At 40.0% G+C, this 19,283-nt stretch overlaps 1 protein-coding gene across 35 annotated transcripts in view, besides 1 other annotated feature; it reads right to left on the bottom strand.

Annotated features, from left to right (window-relative positions):
• Positions 1–19,283, bottom strand: part of MAP7 (microtubule associated protein 7) — a 207,689-nt gene that overhangs the window by 175,655 nt on the left and 12,751 nt on the right. For 8 of the 35 annotated variants that reach the window (NM_001388343.1, NM_001388345.1, NM_001198611.3 and 5 more), the window contains exon 1: positions 7,444–8,194. The exons of 9 other annotated variants lie outside the window; for them this stretch is intronic. In NM_001388343.1, coding sequence (NP_001375272.1) covers positions 7,444–7,576 — 133 coding nt within the window. In that variant the 5' untranslated portion in view covers positions 7,577–8,194. 18 more of the 35 variants (NM_001388346.1, NM_001388344.1, NM_001388340.1 and 15 more) reach the window with 7 other exon arrangements.
• Positions 7,378–8,188: an enhancer, noted in NCBI's record as "H3K27ac-H3K4me1 hESC enhancer chr6:136846904-136847714 (GRCh37/hg19 assembly coordinates)". NCBI's record gives its function as "activates a minimal SCP1, AML or CMV promoter by ChIP-STARR-seq in naive H9 embryonic stem cells {active_cell/tissue: H9 hESC(naive)}" and the evidence as "EXISTENCE:reporter gene assay evidence [ECO:0000049][PMID:30033119]".

Genomic DNA, 19,283 nt, shown 5'->3' on the forward strand with positions numbered 1-19,283 from the left:
AGGACCTGCATTTTACAGTTGGCATAAATGTCAAATAATGCTCTGGTAAACATTCAAACAATGCCTTATGTCCATCTGTGACACACTTTGGGCCTCGGCATCTGGGTCTGGGGTATAATGGGGTATGACTTATCTTCTCAAATTGGCAAATCTAGAACATAAACTTAATATAACATATGGAAGGTGCAACATAAAGTGGGCTTTTCCTAAATGTCTAGATGATCTGAGAATTAAGATGGAGTCTCTCAGTAAAATCACCTTCATTGCTCTTAAGTTTCTGCTAAATGAAAAACATAGTCAAGGTGCCTGGAGCCACCTGGAGAATTTCTGTAACAACGAATTAAAGTTGCTCTTGGAGACACACAGATGTTAATGGAAATGGACATTCAATTCAAACCCAGACTATAATCTTTTAATAAATAATATCTAAGAGTTATCAGCTGGGAGGCTCTAAGTAAACACTTAATTGTGTTTGGTTCCTATGATTGGAGGAGTCAGCTCTTTTAGCTCCATCAATTATAGCTCTGGAAACAGGCACACAATTTTTCAGCCTTTTAGTTTTATATAGCAAGCAAATTACACTTTATATTGTACCTCACTATACAAAAACTTTGGTTATACACAGGTTAAATCATGTTCCTCTTGTACACAGTAACGCATGTGGTAATTTCTACTTATATAACACATAATGCCTGGGGAACAGCTGTATTCATTTATTCAAATAGTTACAGAGAATCCAATGAGTACAAGACATACATTAGATGATGTGATCCTTGCTCCATCCCCTATTATTTTTATATAAATATTTTGAATAAAATATTACATTTAAGATCTCTTCAGCAAATAAAAGTTTATGCCAATGAATTTGACCTCAAGATTTCCTCCTCAAAATAAGGATCTTTGATACCACTGTTCTAAAATACATTTTTGCCTCCCTAGCTGTTAAATTTTACGGCTAAAACCTTTTGCCTAGCCCTAAAATGCCACACATAAGGACACTGGGAAAAGACAATGGTGCAAGCCTTACAGAACAAAAGAGAAAAAGAAACAAGGAGATATATGAGAATGATTCTATAGAGGCATTCATATTTCTTATTCTAAGACTTCTCTTGGAAAACAAAAAGATTCATGACTTAGAAAAGGACATTACAGTTGCTAGATCATCACTTATCTGATAGGAATATAAATGGTAAACACTAGATTATATTTCGTTTGGAAACCTTAACTGGAGGAAATTCTACCTTTACAGTGGAAAAGCCAAAAGAAGAGAAGTCACTGCAGGCTCCAGAAATACACATTTTAACAAAGTGGGGGCGGGGGAGTACAGTTTCTCAGAACCACTGTGTCCCGATCTCAAGGAGAAGTTGTATTTCTTTACAATTTAATCTATGATTAGCTAACAAAAGGGACAGAAAGCATTATTAACCTTAATATTCACAAAGTGGTCAATTAATAGCACCTTGTAACTATATACCTTTGTTTTTCCACCAAAGAAAAATGAATAGCATGACAGAAAACAACAAAACAGGGCTGGGTGCAGTGGCTCACTCCTGCAATCCCAGCACTTTGGGAGATCAAGGTGTGGGGATCACTTGAGCCCAGGAGTTGGAGACCAGCCTAAGCAACAAAGTGAGACCCCACCTCTACAAAATTAAAAGAAAAAAAACAGCCAAGTGTGGTGGTATGCACCTCTAGTTGCAAGCTACTTGGAAGGCTGAGGAGGATCACTTGAGCCCAGGAGTTCAAAGTTGCAGTGAGCCATGATCATACCACTGCACTTCAGCCTGGAAAACAGAGCAAGAGTTTGCCTCAAAAAAAAAAAAAAAAAGGGGGGAGGAGCAGGAGGAGGAGAAGAAGACAACAACAAAGAGATAATCTCTGGTATACTAATAGACAAATGCAGTTTCATAGAGAGCAATATGATTAATGTATCAAACACAGAATTGTCTCTTTCCAAGTAGTTACCTTGAAAGGACAATTCTAATGCTATCAACATTTCTTAGAATTTCTATATTATGAAGACCTTCAGAGTCTGTGAAAGTTATTTTAAGTGTTAAGTTTACCTTTGTTTCATAATGTTCCATTTACTCTGAAAAGTACAGGGTATAAAGAGGAGTGAGTCCTGGCCCTTACAAAGCTTACAGTGTCAAGAAGGACATGGGTGTGTGCATGGATGATTTCATTACACTGATGTAAGTCAGTAATGGATTTACAGTGCGGAAGGAGCACAGTGAGGGGCTGCCCTTTGTGCCAGGAATGAGGAGGCTGGGAGCGAGAGAGGAGGTTTCCTGCAGATGGCACCCAAGGAAAGTCTGGAGAAGATGCCATGTGATCTGATTCTACAGAGTAAGTCAGAGTTATCCAAATGAGGAAGCAAGATGAGGAAAATGGACAGATGAGCATGAGTAGGACACAGAGGCATGCAAGAACATGATGGAGCAGGCAAATGCAACAAGCACTTTGGTGCTGCCGGAGCACAAAGTGCAAAGAGTGGCAGGAAAGAGGATGGAGAAGGCAAAAGGGACCAGCTGGTAGGTAGTCTAGGTGCCATGCTAAGGGGCTTGGACTATTCCTTAGGTCAGGGGTCACAAAAGCAATGACTACGGTAATGTAGATAACTGAGGCAGGCCATGTAATGCATATTCTAGAAGAGGGGCACTGGAGCACGCATGACCCATCTATAGCATATGGTGACAGCTGCTACTTAGCTCCAGCTGATGACTGCTTTGAAGAAAGAGGACAAGGGTGGCTGTGTCTTCCAATTTTTCAAGGGAAGCTGAAATCTAGATTATGAAAAAATCAGTTCCTAAATGTTGACTCATAAACACCTGCAGGGGACAAATAAACTTAGCTACAGACTAAATATGGCTCCAAGACTCCTAGTCAAGACCTCTGTTTCATGAGAAGTTTATTTCTAATGGGCAGATATTTCCATTGGAAAGATGTCATAGTGGCACGCTATGGAGGATGGGTTGGAAAGAGGAAAGACTGAAAGCAGGAAGACCATGATCCACCTAGAGAGTTATGAGTCTTTCGTCTTTTGAGGGAGATGATAATTTTGATAAAATCAAGTAAAAGTCATTTAGAGTCAAGTCTCATGAGCAAATTTAGTATTAGATCTGGACATCAATCAGGTTTTATATAAAAACAACACAGGAGTATAAAGTCAATCAGATGACTGCTTTAGGCAGTTCACAGAATGGGTCAGGAGGCCATTACAAAGCAGAAGTTGTAAAATGTATTGTGTAATAGTCATGAAGCCTCTAGAAGTGTCTATCCACAGGTAAACATTGTGTGGATGTCTTGCTTCTATAATGAAATTTAAAAGACTCTTTGCCCATTATTCTGTGCTCCCGCCTTTAAGGTCTGTGTGAGCTTCCAACCTCAGCCAGACATTTGGGATGGGATAGGAGTCTATATCCCTTAAACGCCCTGTTTCAGATTAAAATCTTGAAGCTAATGGCTTCACAGTTGGCACACACTTAACATTTCTGCCACTCTCATCCTCTCCCTTTCCTGACTTCAATTTATACTCTTGCATTATTTGTACACATTTTTCTTCCTCCACTTCTGTGAGCAGAAACCATGTCAATTATCTTTGCATTACTTCCACAAAACCCCAGCAGAGTAATCTGCCACAGAGTGAGCATTTAACAAATGCTGGTTTAGGAGGAAAATGCCTTATTACTTAATAATCGCTGTGCTCAGCAAAATTCACCGTCTAAGGCAGGTTTGCCTTGAGACCTATCCAAGGGCATTTAGTTACTGCAGCACCTAAACAGTCTCTCCTAAGCCAGTCCTGAAGTCAGCATTACAAGGAGGCTTGAGGTTCCGAGGTATAAGAGCATCAGCATAAGCCCAGCTCGCTCCCAGTGATTATTTAATTACTGTGGTAATAACAGTCAGGTATGTAAAACATTACACTCCTACCGATTACATGGAAGAGTAATCACTCCTTCAAGAATTATCTAGTCTGCCATCTAAACAAACTATTGTCACCCCACCAGATAACTATGAAGCCACCATAGAAGGCCAGATGTTAATCTCCATGTTCTCTCTTACTGAGTTATTTGATGTTTGCCCAACAGTATGGTACCTGAAAAGATGGTACTCATCATTAGCCAGGATAATCCTGAACAGAAACATTCAACTCATCAAATTTAGATGGCAAACTTCTTTATTACTGGTAGAAAAAAGACACTAAGCATGAAAACCAGGTTTGGGTATGGTTGGCAGATGAGGCCATGGGGTAGGAAAAGAAAAGTTTCTGATTGTGTATCGCAATAGTCACACACAAAAAATAAACTGTATGTCATCTTGCTATGATGCTTTGGGAATACTTAATTTAGAAAATAAGAGATGGTCAAGCACAGTGGCTCACGCCTGTAATCCCAGCCCTTTGGGAGGCCAAGGTGGGAGGATCACTTGAAGACAGGAGTTCAAGATCACCTGGGCAACATAGCAAGATCCCATCCCTACAAAAAGCTTTTTAAAAAATTAGTTGGGTGTGGTGGCATGTGCCTGTAATTCCAGCTATTAAGGAGGTTGAGGCAGGACGATCACTTGAGCCCAGGAGTTGGAGGCTGCAGTGAGCTATGATCATGCCATTGGACTCCAGCTTGAGTAACAGGGCAAGACCCTGTCACTAAAGAAAAAATAAAAATAAAAAGGAGAAAAAAAAATTAAGAGTCCATTAAAAGGTGCAACAAATGATACAGGCAACTAGTGACTGGTAATAATAATAATCAGAACAGTGCAACAACATTTAAGTGGAAAAGGTAAAATGAAATTGTCTACACATCCAGGTTTCTGTGTTCTCATGCAGTACAGAGGCTGTCTGCTCCTTGATGTTCTCTTAATAACCACATTCATTTCAGGACCCAACCATATCCAACGTCAGGAAGCAGTAAGGACGAACGAACCAGAGAAGACACAAATTCAGAACGTAACAATGCTACAGACCAGAACTGTGTTGTCCAATAAGGTGGTCACATGTGGCTATTTAACTAAAATTTTGTTTCTCAGTTGCACTAGCTATATTTCAAGCTCTGCAGCTGTGGCTATTGTATTGGACAGTGCATATACAGAACATTTCCATCATTTTCCATGGAACAAAGCTGGACTACAAAGTGAATATTCCTATTGTTAAGATGGACCCAATGAAAAATTCAGTCAAAGTCAATAGTGTTATTCATTGAGCATAATTAGAGATATCCACGGTTATCTGGTTATTTTATTGAATGTGTCATAGAGACAATTGGTGATCCACAGAAAGTTTGGACATCCTTATCAGCACAGGATTTTTTTCTCCCAGTATTCCTCCAATACCTACCCTTGCCCTTCCCACCACTATGGGCAGGGATAGAAAGAAAAATGGTAGGGGGTCAGAAACTCCTTGATTAAGTCTCTCTTATCCAAGAAGCTGCAAAAATTGCCAAAAATAAGTAGGTTTTTCGAAGCATCTTCTTTCCTCCCCTTTCTCTTCCTTTTTAAAAAAATACTAAAAGACAACTAAACAAAAACAACAACAGGAGACAGGCAGAGGTATTCAAGAAAATTATTAAGAAGAGGGCAGGGCGCAGTGACTCACGTCTGTAATCCCAGCACTTTGGGAGGCTGAGGTGGGCAGATCACAAGGTCAGGAGTTTGAGACCAGCCTGGCCAATAATGGTGAAACCCCGTCTCTACTAAAAATACAAAAAAAAAGTAGCTGGGCATGGTGGCAGGTGCCTGTAATCCCAGCTACTCAGGAGGCTGAGGCAGGAGAATTGCTTGAACCTGGGAGGCAGAGGTTGCAGTGAGCTGAGATTGTGCCACTGCACTCCAGCCTGGGCAACAGAGCAAGACTCCATCTCAAAAAAAAGAAAAGAAAAGAAAATTATTAAGAATAAAATGGATGGCTATCCTAAGTTACTGTCCAAGACATCCAAGGAAAAGTACCACAAATCAAGAATGTTTCCAAAAATACCCCATGAGAACAATTCAACAAATCTACATTAATTTTAAAAGTTACCAACTTTTCAGAGGCAAAATGATTTGCTGCTAAAAATTTAAAGTCCTGAGTTTTCATCCAGAGCAACACACTCTGGTTCAATGATGTAATTCACAGGCAAATAAAAGAATCACATTAAGTCACCCTCCAGTCATAGCATCATTTGATTTCTGAGGTCATTTGGTTCTCAGACAGGAGCCAGGTCTGATAGTAAATAAAAATCAACTACAGTAGTAAGATTCTACTTATTAGAACTTCCCTGTGTACTGTCTCATAAAAATGAAGTAATATGCTTTTGGATTTAATGTAGACAGTTTCAATTATATTTAAGAAAAGCAAAGTAAGATTAATTCGAGAAACAGGAAAAAGAAAACGAGTCCTCAGACACTGGATTCTATTTAACACTCTTCACTTTATCATTGCTTAAATATTTGCTTTCTACTTTGTCATGCTACCTCTCTGCATCACAGAAGAAAATTTGATACCTCAGTGACAGAATAATTTAAGAGCAAGCTAAAAATTAATCAGCACATAAAAGCAAGAAAACTCATAACCCATCTGTTTAAGAACAGCTTATATATTTTGGGGAAGGGGAAGCAAGACTTAGGATGCTGGAAAATGTAAAACACAGGCCTTAAAGCTCCTTTTTCAAAAATGTCTGATGTTGCTGTCTCTGGCTGATAATTACAGCCCTGGGAGGGCAGCTGTGAGACAATGCTGACAATGATGCAGTACACAGGCTCTCAAGAAGCTGGTAAGCTGCTGCTACCTTTCATACTGTGAAAGAACAACACAAGGGTCAGACTTCCCTTTTCTGTAACCTGTGCATTTCAACTGCCATACACGAATTCAGTTATCATCAACAGTTATACAACCTCATGATCTCCTCCCTGCTCCCTAGCTTCACCCTCCACATTCGCCCTCAATGTTTGCTGTGCTCCTCTTTACTCTTGACATTTTAGTATAGAAAGGGAAGTGACATTTTGACCCTCTGCCTAGAAAAGGTTGCACTCTTGAGTCACTTTAACTCATCCTTTAAAGCAGAAACTCACTTCATTAAAATAAGCAAAAATTATCTGAGGCACCTAAGGAAGGTGGGGAGATGTTCGTTTAAACCTTGATAACTCAGTATTTCCTCCTCTTGATGAGGACAGAGTGACTGGTCACTGCTGAAGTGAGCATGGGAAAAATTAAACATCTCTAGGCCAAGAAAGTAGCTTAAGTCAAAAAAGGCAACTGATCTGAAATACACCGAATCTACAAAAACTGTTTCCCATTTCATGCATACACAACCCTACAGAGGGTATAAACACTACCAGCAAACCGTGCTAGGAGGTCACAAGCACTCCCTGGAGCATGCACGAGCAGCACAGTTTATAAAACGTTCTATAGGCAGTGTGGGAGACAAGGGCTGGATCTGGCTCCGACCAAAGGGTGGAGCTAATGCATACCTTTTGGTCTTCTGGAATTTCCATTCTTTTGCTGTTCGTCTTCCTCATTAATGGTGAATAAACCAAGAGGAATTGGCCTTGCATTGGTCTTCTTCAGTCTCTCATGTCGGAGAGCTGTAGCTGATCCAGGCATACCGCTGCTACTTGTTTTTTTTTTTTTTAATTGTGATTATATTAAAAATATATGCTTATGTAATTGCAGCTCCCAGGAAGCTGCTAGTTCCTAAGCTGCCTGTTCATTTGAGCACTTGTAATAGATCCCCTATGGGTAAACAGTTTGCAAACAGCTGACAGATAGTACCAGCCACTTGGCAACTGAGGCCCTGCAGTTCCCCTCACCTAGCAGCAGCTTCCCCACCTCCCCTACCAGCCCCCTCCCACTGACTCCCCGACAGGCACATGCGCTGGTGATTGCTCCGGCTCATGCATGCACGTACACGCGCGCGCACACACACACACACACACACACTCCTTCCAGAAAAGCCCTACTACAGACACGCAGGGTCTGATGCCTCCCACCACTGCACAACCTGTTCAATCAGATCCCAGCTTCTTCCTGCTGCAGCACCTTTTTCCAATCTTCTTCCTGCTACCACACAGTAAAATATTCAGCCCACAGCAGAGAGGGGAAAATATGATATGCTGCCGTTAACAGTTGCCCTGACAACCCTAACATATCCTAATCAAGAAGGGCCCAGAGCGGCTCCATCTCCCCAGCTGAGAAGCGGCAGCTTGCAGGATGCTGGGTTCTGGGAACTCACCAGCAGAGGGTTACAGCGTGAGGCCGCTGGGCAGCTCCCTCTTCCTCTCAGCGGCAGCGCAGCAGGATGGGAGGAGAAAGAGTTTTGCTTGCACAAGCAGCAGTAGACTCCTCAGTATGGAGACAGAAGCCTGAGGAAGAAAGGCTTTTTCTTCTTTTCTGGGCCAGGTTGTCTATCATAACAATGTTTGCAAGCCCCTGGATGAATGAAGGCATGGCTGGTACCCACAGAGCAGCTCACTTTACTTTCCTGACATTCTTACCACCCCAGAGCATGTATAAGAACAGGGTTGGCAGCACCAGTCATGAGGGCCACCAGTGCCATGTCCCTGAAACCCTCTGGTGAAGACAGGCAAGGGAAGAACTATGCTGGCTCCCACCAGAGATCACAACGTGGAGTGTCTCCTCTGCAACTCAAGTTTCAAGGACAGAACCTATACTGGGGAATTCTCCAAAGGAGAAAAACCTGTCTCTATTACACCCAGCACACCCCCCACCCTCAATCCCTACCGCTCTGGGCAGTTGCTACCAGCGGTGCTGAGCAATGCTCAACACTTGACCCAATTTTAGCTCTTTTTTGGATCGTTTTCTTCAAAGCACAGAATCATGTGACTATTGTTTTCTCCTGAAATAAGCTATCTCACTTTAAGACTCTCCACTTCTAGACTGCTTAAAATGTGTGCTGTCTCCAAAAAAAATTTACAATAAATGACATTAAAACATGCCAACTGCCAAATTAAGAAAAAACATTTTTTTTGCTTTTGTGTTTTAATAAAAATCAAGTCTGCTTAGCAAGTCAAAAGCAATCCTCCCACTCCCCAACTACTCCCTTACTTTTTCTCAGTACTTAAACCTACTTACCCAAAAGAGGGCCCAAGGGAGTCTAAGGCAAGTACAATATCCTCTCTAAATCTCTTGCGTGGAACAGTAACTTTGGACAATTCACTTAACTCTCTCAGTGCCTCCGTTTTCTCTGTAAAATTGGGGTGATGACTATCATTTACCTATGGTATTAGGGTGAGGATTAAATGCGTGTAGTGCTAGCAACTTGAAGTGCTTAATAAATACCAACTATTATTATACTTTATAATAGTTTGCTGTAACTAGTCCATTTTTTGCTTTGTAATTATTTTCAAGGTATTTCCAGTTCAACTATCAATGCTACCAGGAAGTACTTCTTTGTATCTACTCTTATTGTCCAGCATGGTGCTGGGGGATGTACTAAATTGTGAGCAAACACATGCTGAAAAAAATAAATGAATCTTAAGAACTCTTTCCCTCCACAGGCTGCTTGATTTAATTAAGTTCACATGTATTTAGATCTCTGGCATGAAGAAACGCAGGAAATTTCAGTTTTAGAGTTTATTTTAAATTGTGTCAATCTGTGCAGTGGGTCTTTGGAATAAAATAGAATGGAGTTTTGGAGCTGAATGGGCCTGAGAAAGCAAGTGAGTCAGCATCGTTTTACATGCGAGGAAGCTGAATCTCACGAAGTGAAATTCCTTGCCTAGGTCAAATGTTAGTTGGCAGCAAGTCTACAATTAAAATTTAGACCATCTTCCTCCTAGTCCAGTGCTTCTCCCGATGACAAATGTTTGACCCAGATGTTTTAGAATCCTAGATCGATCTCCAATTTATGTGGAGATGGAAGGAAAGGGAGGACGCATATAAGATCTTATTGTTTAAGAAATAAAAAAATGGATACAAATTGTAAACGTAACATACTTCCATAATTTTCTATATTTGTAAACTTTTATTCTTGAATGAGACATGATTTGTTATTTCCTATTATTTTTCTTTAATCAGATGATCAATAAACACAGGTGTAATATACATCAATATCATACTATTTGTGAAATGAAAATATTTTCAAATCCACATTAGCTTCTTTCCTCTACTTCAAGAGAGTCAGGTCAGTATTTACAATAGCAAAAGCATAACAAAACAAAAAAGCAAAATAATAACAAAAAAAACCCCACATACAAAATAAGCATACTTGAAACTACCTTTTGGTAAAGAAAATGAAAATCTGTATTAAGCAAATGACTAATTTCATTTAGAAATGTTTGTCACCCAAATACAGCTTACAGCTTCCAAACAAAGCTAGCTGCTGCTCTAATAACTAACACATTATCTCCACTGAGTCAAGATGCTCTCATCCTGCTGTCGTGTAAATCCTGACCCCAACATCAACTAGCTGTGTCACTGTCACAGAAAAGCAAACAGCACAAGATCAAATAATAACAATAAAGGATTTTTTTCCTTCCCTTATAAAGGACACATTTTTCACTTAAGACATAAATTCATTTGAGATTAGTTTCTTAAATGTTCACACCCAATCTTTAATGGATATAGGGGTTAGCTCCTGGGGAATTCCAGGAATACTGTGGCTTGATCCCTGTAGAGGTGTGGGTACCATCTTCTCGCAATTCCCTTTTACATTTTGATCCAAACCAAAGGCAAATACGGAAAGGGATATGGTGAGACCTTAAATTTAAATATCCGCCAAAGTAAAATAAACACTACTCTGAATTCCTGAACTCTTTGAGATGGAGTCTCGCTGTCGCCAGGCTGGAGTGCAGTCGCAGTCTTGGCTCACTGCAACCTCCACCTCGCGGGTTCAAGTGATTCTCCTGCCTCAGCCTCCTGAGTAACTGGGATTACAGGCATCTGCCACCACACCCAGCTAATTTTTTTTTTGCATTTTTAGTAGAGATGGGGTTTCACTATGTTGGCCAGGCTGGTCTTTGACTCCTGACCTCAAGTGATCCACCCACCTTGGCTTCTCAAAGTGCTGGGATTAAAGGTTATAAGCCACCGCGCCCAGCCTCCTGAACTCTTCTCCAGCACTAAGGAGCATTTTCAATTAGATGTGGCACAACTATCCTTGCATGTCACATGCAGATACAGAGGCTTAAATCAGTCCCCATGGGAAATGGGCATGCAGCCCTCCAACAATCAGTAAGGTTTTGCAATTACTTTCTTTAAATTGTTAAAGTGATAAATGTTGTATTAATAGAGGCTTTGTACAAATTTGAGAGAAATGAGGCACTGCCTAGTGCAAAATGGTAGATTTTACAACTAGATTGGCTTTATATTGCGTAAAAATATTCTGCAGTATAATTTCAAAATGTATTCACATTTATGGGTAAAAACATTACCACTCAGCTACTATGATTAAAACAGTCCAATAGGCCCCCGAGCAACTGCAGGCCCCACCCGCTTGGTCCACAATAAATTTATGTCTCTTTGTCCTCCTACCCTGGCTGGTTGGCATCTCTGGCCTATGTCCAACCTGTGAGTTGGATGAATATGAAACAGAGTCAAACTTGCTGATCTTTGGGGAAGTAAGCTCATGACTTGGGCCTAGCTGTCACAATGCTATATAAAAGACTAACATGTAGTCACCTGCATACACATACGCACACATAGAGTCAGCTTTCTGTTCACATTTATGCTTCCTAGACTTGTGTGACCATAAAGTTGGAAAACAGCACACTCCATGAATGAATCCAAGAAATCTGCTTAACCAGTGAGAAACATACCTAAAATTTCCCTTTCTAAAAGCCCAGTGAGCTTTACAAAAACATTATTGAAAGAAAAAAGAGCCTAATTTGTACTATTCAATGGCTGTAGCTGAAAACAGAAATTATTACTGCTGGATTGAATGGCCTGTCACCAGTAAATTACAAGTTCCACGTATGTATAAGTTATTTACTTTTCATCAGGGTCCAGAAGTGCCAAAATTCTTTTCCACGTTTCAACATTCGAAGAGATGGTTAATTCTTCAAAACTACCGGACTTCAGCAATCTTTTAAGTATTTAATGCATCTCCCCAAGATAAACTGAAATTTACTTCTAGCAGGAGTTTTAACAATATTTTTATGCAACTTAAAAACTTTGCATGATTTTGAAAATGACAAAGCCAGCACAGGTTGACATGGAATCAAACAACCACTAAGGAACAAAGGGTCCCAGCTGGTTCTTTGCCACTCTATTCTTGAAGTTAAAGGGCAGCCTCAGAGTTTCCTAGAATTATGCCACTTACTGATGGCTTTTGTGACGATAAAGGCACAACATTCTGCCATCTTGCAGCATCATGCATAGCATAGAAGAGGCTGGATAAAGAAATACTGCACAAAGAAATATCATCCCTTTGAAAGGAAGAGGCAGATTTGCTTTGATCTTCTTTATTTGACCACTTTTTGTTAACAGGCATATAAGAAAAACAGTAAATACTGCCCTAGTAGCGGTGATGCCATCAGCCAGAAGTACCAGGTCCCTGTGGTGCCTTTTACAACATTTCTATAAATCTTCACTGCAAAACACTTCATGGTGCCTACAGAGTCCATTTTCCCATGTCTGCTCTATCATAAACAAATTTCAAACGCTAGGGATTCATTTATACAAATGTAAGGTGTGGATACTAAGCTTTAAAACCCTTTCCTAAATGTTAGGTGTGAAATGCCACATTAAACCTTAACCCAGTAGCACATAATGGAATGCCTCTCAGCCCTCTTGTTCATTACTCTCATTGATAATACTTTATTAATGTGCACTACATGAACTTCTGAATTACTTGATAAAAGTTAAATGTGCAAAGACTGTCCTCTCTTCTCACGATAATTAGGCTAAGAAATCCAATTTTATAGATTCCAAATGAGGGAAAGAAATCAATCGCTGGGTTCAACAGAAGATTCATACAGATGCCCGGACTGTGTTTCTGTAAGTTACCTAATTCACTGAGGGTCTGTGAGCAGTTTAATTTAGTGTTTAATTTAGTTTTATTGTTGAGCCACACCATTAGAAAGAAAATGAAACTATGGTTCCTTGACTTGCTTTGCTTTAGGAGTAGTAAAATCATGTTAAAGATGACAGATGGGGTGCTTTGGGGCATGCCATCAGAGAGGATACAGAGCCAAAGGCATAATGTTTTCACCAAACAGAGGCAGTGGGGAGCCACTGAAGGGTATTGATAGCTAAATGTGTGATCCAGACAGGCCAGGATGAACTTGAAGTGAGAAAGAGAGAGACGGGACAGAGACTAGCTATGTAACTACTTCGTCCAAGTAAAGAAAAGGGATCAAATGGTGGTCATAGGGATAGACGTAAAAACAGGAATATGAGAATCAATCATGTTTGTGTTTTTTTAACAGACACCCCTCTAGCAGTGTGAAAAACTTATCCATAGGCTTGAACGTGAATACCAAGCTCCTGCAATAGTCCAGATGAAAGATGGAGAAGTGGGCAATGCAAAGAAAGGTAGTTATGTTTTTATTAAAGATTAATATGAGAACAAGTGCTCTATATCCATAGAAAAAAGAAAGCTAAGAGATGGATAGACTCAGGTCCAAAATGATCTCAAAGAATGAAATAATGAGCTATACTTAGACAGGATACAGCCTATTCAGTTTATTCCCACTGAATAGGCTATATTCTTATCCATTCAGTAAGAATAAACAGGAACATATCTTTTTATATGTAAAAAAAGTTCAACTGGACAGGTACAAAATGAAGACCTACCCAAGCTGCCCCAGAAACAAAGCGAGCACTTGGACAACAAGCTCACTAAACATCATCAGCGCACTGAGGAAGTAAAAACCCTAAGTGTCACAGTGGAATCGGCAGACACCAGCGTGCCTAATAGGAGGACAAGCGTTCTCTGTTTACTGGTCCTCATACTACATGGTACTCGCAAGATATTTGAAATAGGATGATAAATGAGAACACTTTCAGAAGAGAGTGACCTAGGACTTACCATAAATATTCTAGGCCATAACATAGGAGACATAACATAGAAGAAAATAAGACAAGACTCCAGAGGAATAAAATAACAGAATTAAAGGTTAACATATGGAAGAATTTACACTTTTAGTGGAAGTGTAAATTTAGTTCTGGAAGAGAAAACTGGGACCAGGGACTGTTAAGTTATCAGAATGTAAAAAGTTATGTTTCTTGACATTGAAGATAGCTGTGCACAAACACTGATTTGGAATGATGATGTTGGATTAATGCACTGTTTACAGGTTGAATTTTTTTTTTTTTTAATCTCTAGAGCTTCTTCTGATCCTGAGATTCCATGACTTGATGCAAATGGAAAGTCGAGTTATATAACCAAGAGAGAACACTCAGGCAGAGGGAAAAAGCAAGGCTGAGATAAAGCCCTCTCCTTTGCTGTACCTGTGCACATACTTACTCGCATGGCTTCATTTTGTAAGCAACTCTGCGTTTCATTATTTTACTTATTCAACTGATGGTCCCGAGGTTTTAGCCTTAAATGCTAAATCACAGAAACAACTGAACCTTCTCCAGGTGTTTGGGTTAGAAGAGGGCCACACTACTCTGATCTCCGCACCTGCGGCTTCCAGACTTCCCACATTCTCTCACCCACAATGTAATGAAAACCTACTGATATACATGCCTGTAATCCCAGCACTTTGGGAGGCCAAGGCGGGTGGATCACCTGAGGTCGGGAGTTCGGGACCAGCCTGACCAACATGGAGAAACCCCATCTCTACTAAAAATACAAAATTAGCCGGGCATGGTGGCGCATGCCTGTAATCTCAGCTACTCGGGAGGCTGAGGCAGGAGAATCGCTTGAACCCAGGAGGCAGAGGTTGCAGTCAGCCGAGATTGGGCCATTGCACTCCAGCCTGGGCAACAAGAGTGAAACGCCATCTAAAACAACAACAAAAAACCTACTGATAAAGATGAATAAGAGAGTTTTCCCCTCAATGAGCCAATTTGTTATAGGTGGATCCCTATAGCTATGTGACTTGAGAGATGAAATCTAAATGAAGAGCGATACTAAAGAACAGCAAACCAATTCAGTGTATGACTTTTTGGGCATTTTAAGGATAGTGACAGCATTAAGTCTTTAGGACAGCAAAGCATCGGACAGGTGAAGAACATTCATTTCAGAATGTTTTAAGACTTTTCCTCAATCCCATCTGTGTTAGTCCGTTTTGTGTTGCTATAAATACCTGAGACTGGATAATTTACAAAGTTTTGTTTTGGCTTAGAGTTCTGCAGACTGTACAAGGAGCACAGTGCTGGTATTTGCTTCTGTTGAGGGCTCAGGACGTTTACAGAAGGAGAAAGGGAAACAGGTGTGTCACATGGCAATGGAGCAAGAGAGATATCGGGCTCTTTTAAACAACCAGCTCTCACATGAACGAACAGAATGAGAACTCACTCATTACCATAAGAGGAGTACCAAGCCATTCATAAGATCGGCTCCCATGGCCCAGACATATCCCACTAGGTCTGCCTCTAACATTGGATGTCATATTTCAACATGAAACCATATCTAAACCGTATCACCATCCTTTGCTACTTTGCCACTCTTTCCATTTCTTTCTCCTAAACCCCCCTGAAATTAAAAGACATCCATTTTTTTACTGAAAGCGTAATATCCTGTTTTTACCTTCAAAAATCAGGAAAGATTAATTATTAAATTTTATCTCTTAAATAAAGCGATTTGTATGATTCTGGGTAAAAACTGTTAATTTTCTTCTTGAGGGTGAGTGTATCAGTGAGGATTCTTCCACGAAATAGAACCAATAGTATTTTTGGTTGTTTCTCTGGAGAGAAATATATTGTATATAAAGACTTATTTTAAGGAATAATGGCTGCTGCCACTGTGGGGACAAACAAGTGTGAAATCTGTGCAGCAGGCTGGCAGGCTCGAAACTCAAGCAGGATTTCCATGTCACAGTCTTAAGGCAGACTTCCTCCTTCTTCTTCTTTCCCAGGCCTTCACCTGATTGGATTTGGCCCACCCATAGCCAGGATAATCCCCTTTACTTAAAGTCAACTGATTGTAAATGTTAATCATAGTTACAAAATACCTTCCCAGCAACATCTAATGTTTGGGCTGAGCCCAGCTGACACTTAACCTATCAGTCAGTGACCTCAGAGAGATTAAGATACTCCATTCCCACATTCAAGTCAACATGCTGCGAACGAAAGCATGCCATTCAAAAGTCAAAGGCTTATGTATCAATGATCATAATCTTCATTGAATAGGATGGATTCTATTTACTCAGATAATTTTCCAATACTGTAATGCTCTATTAATATAATGTTCCTACAGTTGGGGTCAGGATATCTTAGACTTATTAAATCCCTCTTTATTTTCACTAATGATCACCCTTTGAGAATCAAGTACTGGTGAGCTTAAAAGCATTATCAAATGAACCCTTTTAATGAGAACTAAGCAGCCTGTTCATCTGAACATTAAATGATTCAAAAGTACAGATATATAGATTACAAAAAATCCTTCTCTATTATAATGAAGTAACCCCACTTTCTCAATCAGTAGAAACTAAAGTACATAGATCCGTACATGGGGATGGAGAGAGGGTTGGATAAAACGCTTTTCATGAGAAAAGCGTATGAAGGTTTGAGGCATTAAACTTTATTTTTTGGTTTATTTATTAACTGAAACCAATTGATACAGTTTGGATGCTTGTCTCCTCCAAATCTCATGTTGAAATGTAACCCCCAATGTTGGAGGTGGGGCCTGGTGGGAGGTGACTGGATCATGGCGGTGCAACCTCCATGAATAGTTTAGCTCCTTCCCCGTGGTGATAAGTAAGTTCTCCCTCAGTTAGTTTACATAAGGTCTGGTTGTTTAAAAGTCTGGGACCTCCCCTCACACCACTCTCTTGCCATGTGAATGTGCCTGCTCCCGCTTCACCTTCCACAATGATTGTAGGCTTCCTGGGACCCTCAGCAGAAGCCGAGCAGATGTCAGTGCCACGCTTGTACAGCCTGCAGATCCCTGAGCCAATTAAACCTTTTTTCTTTATAAATTGCCTAGCCTCAGGTGTTTAAGTGACACAAAAAAAGGCCTAACACACCAATTCTGACAAAAGAAAAAAAAATTACATACAATTCTCCAGCATAGTTCTGAAACCAACCTAGAGGAAGGAAGTGCCTCACAGAAATGCCAAATTATATAATTGTGGTGGGTAAGTTTGAGGCTTGGTCCATTTTCCTTCAGTGAAAGCCACACTGAGAATTGTCAGTAACCAACCAGAACACTAAAAGCCTTTAAGCTAAATTATAAAGATATAAGATATTTAGGATTGAGTGCCAAGCTTAGAAGCTTTTTTTTTCTTTTTTTTTTAGTATTTGTCATCTTTTTTTTTCTTTTTTTTTTAAATTATACTTTAAGTTCTAGTGTACATGTGCACAATGTGCAGGTTTGTTACATATGTATACCTGTGCCATGTTGGTGTGCTGCACCCATTAACTCATCATTTACATTAGGTATATCTCCTAATGCTATCCCTCCCCGCTCCCCCCACCCCACGACAGGCCCCAGTGTGTGATGTTCCCCTTCCCGTGTCCAAGTGTTCTCACTGTTCAGTTCCCACCTGTGAGTGAGAACATGCGGTGTTTGGTTGTTTGTCCTGGCGATAGTTTGTTGAGAATGATGGTTTCCAGCTTCATCCATGTCCCTACAAAGGACATGAACTCATCCTTTTTTATGGCTGCATAGTATTCCGTGGTGTATATGTGCCTCTTAAAATTTGTAACTGCTAAGCAAAAAATATTCCTAATGCATCAATAATTTTTTTAAAAAATATGAAGTATTAATTTCCAAGAAGTAGATATTACTAGCAATCCAGCAAGGTTTTTTTGTTTTTTGTTTTTTTCCATAAATACGTCTTCTCTTAGGCTTGACTGATCTAGAGCCATCAAGATTTTAGGGGGCTCTATATGAAAAAATTAACATCTCAAAAAGATTAACAGGTTGGTAAGCACTCAGGGGACACTACTTCATCTCTAAACCCTTTCACTTTTCATATCCATGACCTAAACCCGTGGATGGCAGCTTAGGAAGGATTATAATGACAAAGGAGCCTTTTGGCAAACTTCCTAAAACACCCCAAATGACCATTTTGCCTTTTTCATAAAGTGTAATGGCTATACTCCAGACACATGCAATGTTGTAGTAAAGAAATCAAAATCATAATAAAAATCTCTCCTTTCTCTTAAATTTCTTGCTGGAAATAGTACTAGCTGGCTCCTGTTTCCACAGGCATGAAGACACTTGCCCCTAAGTTCCTGAAATAAGCAGCAGCCATGTCCCTTTACTGCCCAGAGCCAGACTTTATCTAGCACACTGGAAAAAGACCGTGTTTACTACAAAAAGAGGGAAGCAAAAACTGTTTTGAAAATAACTGCAGGACTGCAAACTGTTGAATGAACATGTTTCCAGATAGGTACATCTGTAATAGAAAGCAACCCTGTGCTATGGTAAGAAAAAATCAGCTTTGCACATTGTACAAGTGGTTCAGAATGCCCAATTCACAGGTGTCTGAACTCCATACCCAGAGTCCTAGTTCTGAACCTTTTGCCCCTTCCTTCTGGCATTTCATATACAGGCCTTCTCTCTTCCAAAGGTTTCTTGAAGACTTACTTGCTACTGTGGGTGTCATTAATGAGTCCTGCAACACTCTCACAATGACATGTGGGTCTCATCACATATATGGTTTAGATTTGTGTTGCACACTTGCTTGATGGTTGGAAACTTTCTCTTTCTTTTTTTTTTTTTTAAACTTTGATGCTGTTCTCAGCAAGCAGCAGATAAATATTGGACCTGATCAGTTTGTAAATAAGTTGAAGAACTGACATTCTCAAATCTGTCCATTTTAGACACAGCTGGGATACCGAGGATTGAATCTGAAATGCCAACCTAGGGCTCTTCCCTGTGAGGCCTCACTGGATTATAAGATTATGGGGTTTTTCTATCCAAAGTTGTTCGAGTCTCATAGGTCTTCTAGACTAAAAATAGCTTCCCTCTTCTCAATTTATTTCAATACTTTCAACTGTTGAGACATCTCTTGTATTTTTTCTCTATCTGGGCCTTATACAGTCACTGCACAAAGCATATGGATGTATCTTTTTATATACACAGGGAGGGCATCTTCACCAGGATATTGGGATGGGTTTATTCCTAGTGTTAAGTAAATCCATACAAAACTTATTTTCAATAATAATTCAGTTCTATTTTTACTGAATAACACATTTTAATATTTCAAAGGTGGCATCAGGAACACTTGTTTAA

This window comes from Homo sapiens, chromosome 6 (assembly GCF_000001405.40).
Source record: "Homo sapiens chromosome 6, GRCh38.p14 Primary Assembly".
Lineage (NCBI taxonomy): Eukaryota > Metazoa > Chordata > Mammalia > Primates > Hominidae > Homo > Homo sapiens.